The 1,294-nt window shown below is 30.7% G+C and overlaps 1 annotated feature.

Annotated features, from left to right (window-relative positions):
- Nucleotides 878-967: a silencer, noted in NCBI's record as "silent region_2373". NCBI's record gives its function as "represses an Ori minimal core promoter by ATAC-STARR-seq in GM12878 lymphoblastoid cells {active_cell/tissue: GM12878}" and the evidence as "EXISTENCE:reporter gene assay evidence [ECO:0000049][PMID:35858748]".

The following is a 1,294-nucleotide window of genomic DNA, read 5'->3' as shown; positions in this document are numbered from 1 at the left end:
ATGACCATGATACATGATTAAAATAAATAAAAACTTTCATCAGTTCTGTTTAAAAAATAGAGTTATTTGAAGTATTACAGTTTTTACAAATATTCTTAGTATAACAACAATTCAATTTTTATTTTCAAAAACTTTTAAACATTTGGTTATATATAGTCAATTATTTCCATTTTATTTACTTATTAACAGATTTTTTCAGAATTCTTACCATAATTTGCATAACTGCATGCTAGCTTAAGTTTGATTTTCATTCTCTAGGAAATGGATACAAAGAACATCTATAAAATACTAATTTTTATTTGATAAAACATTTAGAACTTTTCTATTTTCTTTATGAGGCAAATTTTTTAATTTATCATTTTCTTTACATTTTTCTTTCAAATTCATTTTTTACATGGTTGTTTCACTAAAATTATTTTGGTTACATCTTTAGCTATAAACCCAATTTCCTTACTGTGCCATTCTCAGAAAAATTTGAACTATTTGTCTAAGAGTTCCCTATTTGCTACACCTCTCACCCCAGTTTTCTAACCCCCCTTGATTCATTATATATGTCTTATAAAGCATATTAATGTTTTTTAAACTAAATGTTAAAATTCACCCCACCAATCAGAATGAGGATGGAATATTTTATAATTATTTCACTACCAATTTTTGTCAGGCTTCGCCATGTCCTTAGTTCTTTAATAACAGTAAGAGAGCTCTGTTATTACAAGTAAATATGTGTCATGCTCTAGTCATAATAATTTACATTTACTCTTCACCAGAACTTTTTGAGATAAGGTAATTACCTACTTTTACTGAAGACTTAGTTTCAGTATCATGATCTGCTTATATTTACATAGCTAAGGTATGACACAGTTTGGGATTCAATCATGAAGCCTGCCTGGTTTCAAAGTCCACCTCCTAACCACTGACCACATTTACCAAAATATGGTCTTCAGTTATGCAACAAACTTATTTAAGTACAGTTTCCTGGGTCCCAGTTTAGATCTAGTGAGTCAGACTCTGAAAAGGGGTAGGAATGGGAGTCTGAATTCTTACAATGTCTTCCAAGTAATTGTTCAACACCTGAAATTTGAGAACAATTCCATTCATTTTACCATCTTGATTCCCCCAGCCATGCATGGTTTGGTCCCATACTCTGCTTCATCCTATCTCATTTCTAAAAGTTATTCTCACCTGGAGCAAAAGTAATGAAAAACATTGACATCAAAGAAATTAGTGACAAGCCAGTGCTGAGTCTACCATTGCTAAATGAACTTCTGTCTAGTCCCCTAGACAAAAAACAAAA

This window comes from Homo sapiens, chromosome 10 (genome assembly GCF_000001405.40).
Source record: "Homo sapiens chromosome 10, GRCh38.p14 Primary Assembly".
In the NCBI taxonomy this organism is placed as follows: domain Eukaryota; kingdom Metazoa; phylum Chordata; class Mammalia; order Primates; family Hominidae; genus Homo; species Homo sapiens.
This window is presented reverse-complemented; position numbering and strand designations above follow the sequence as displayed.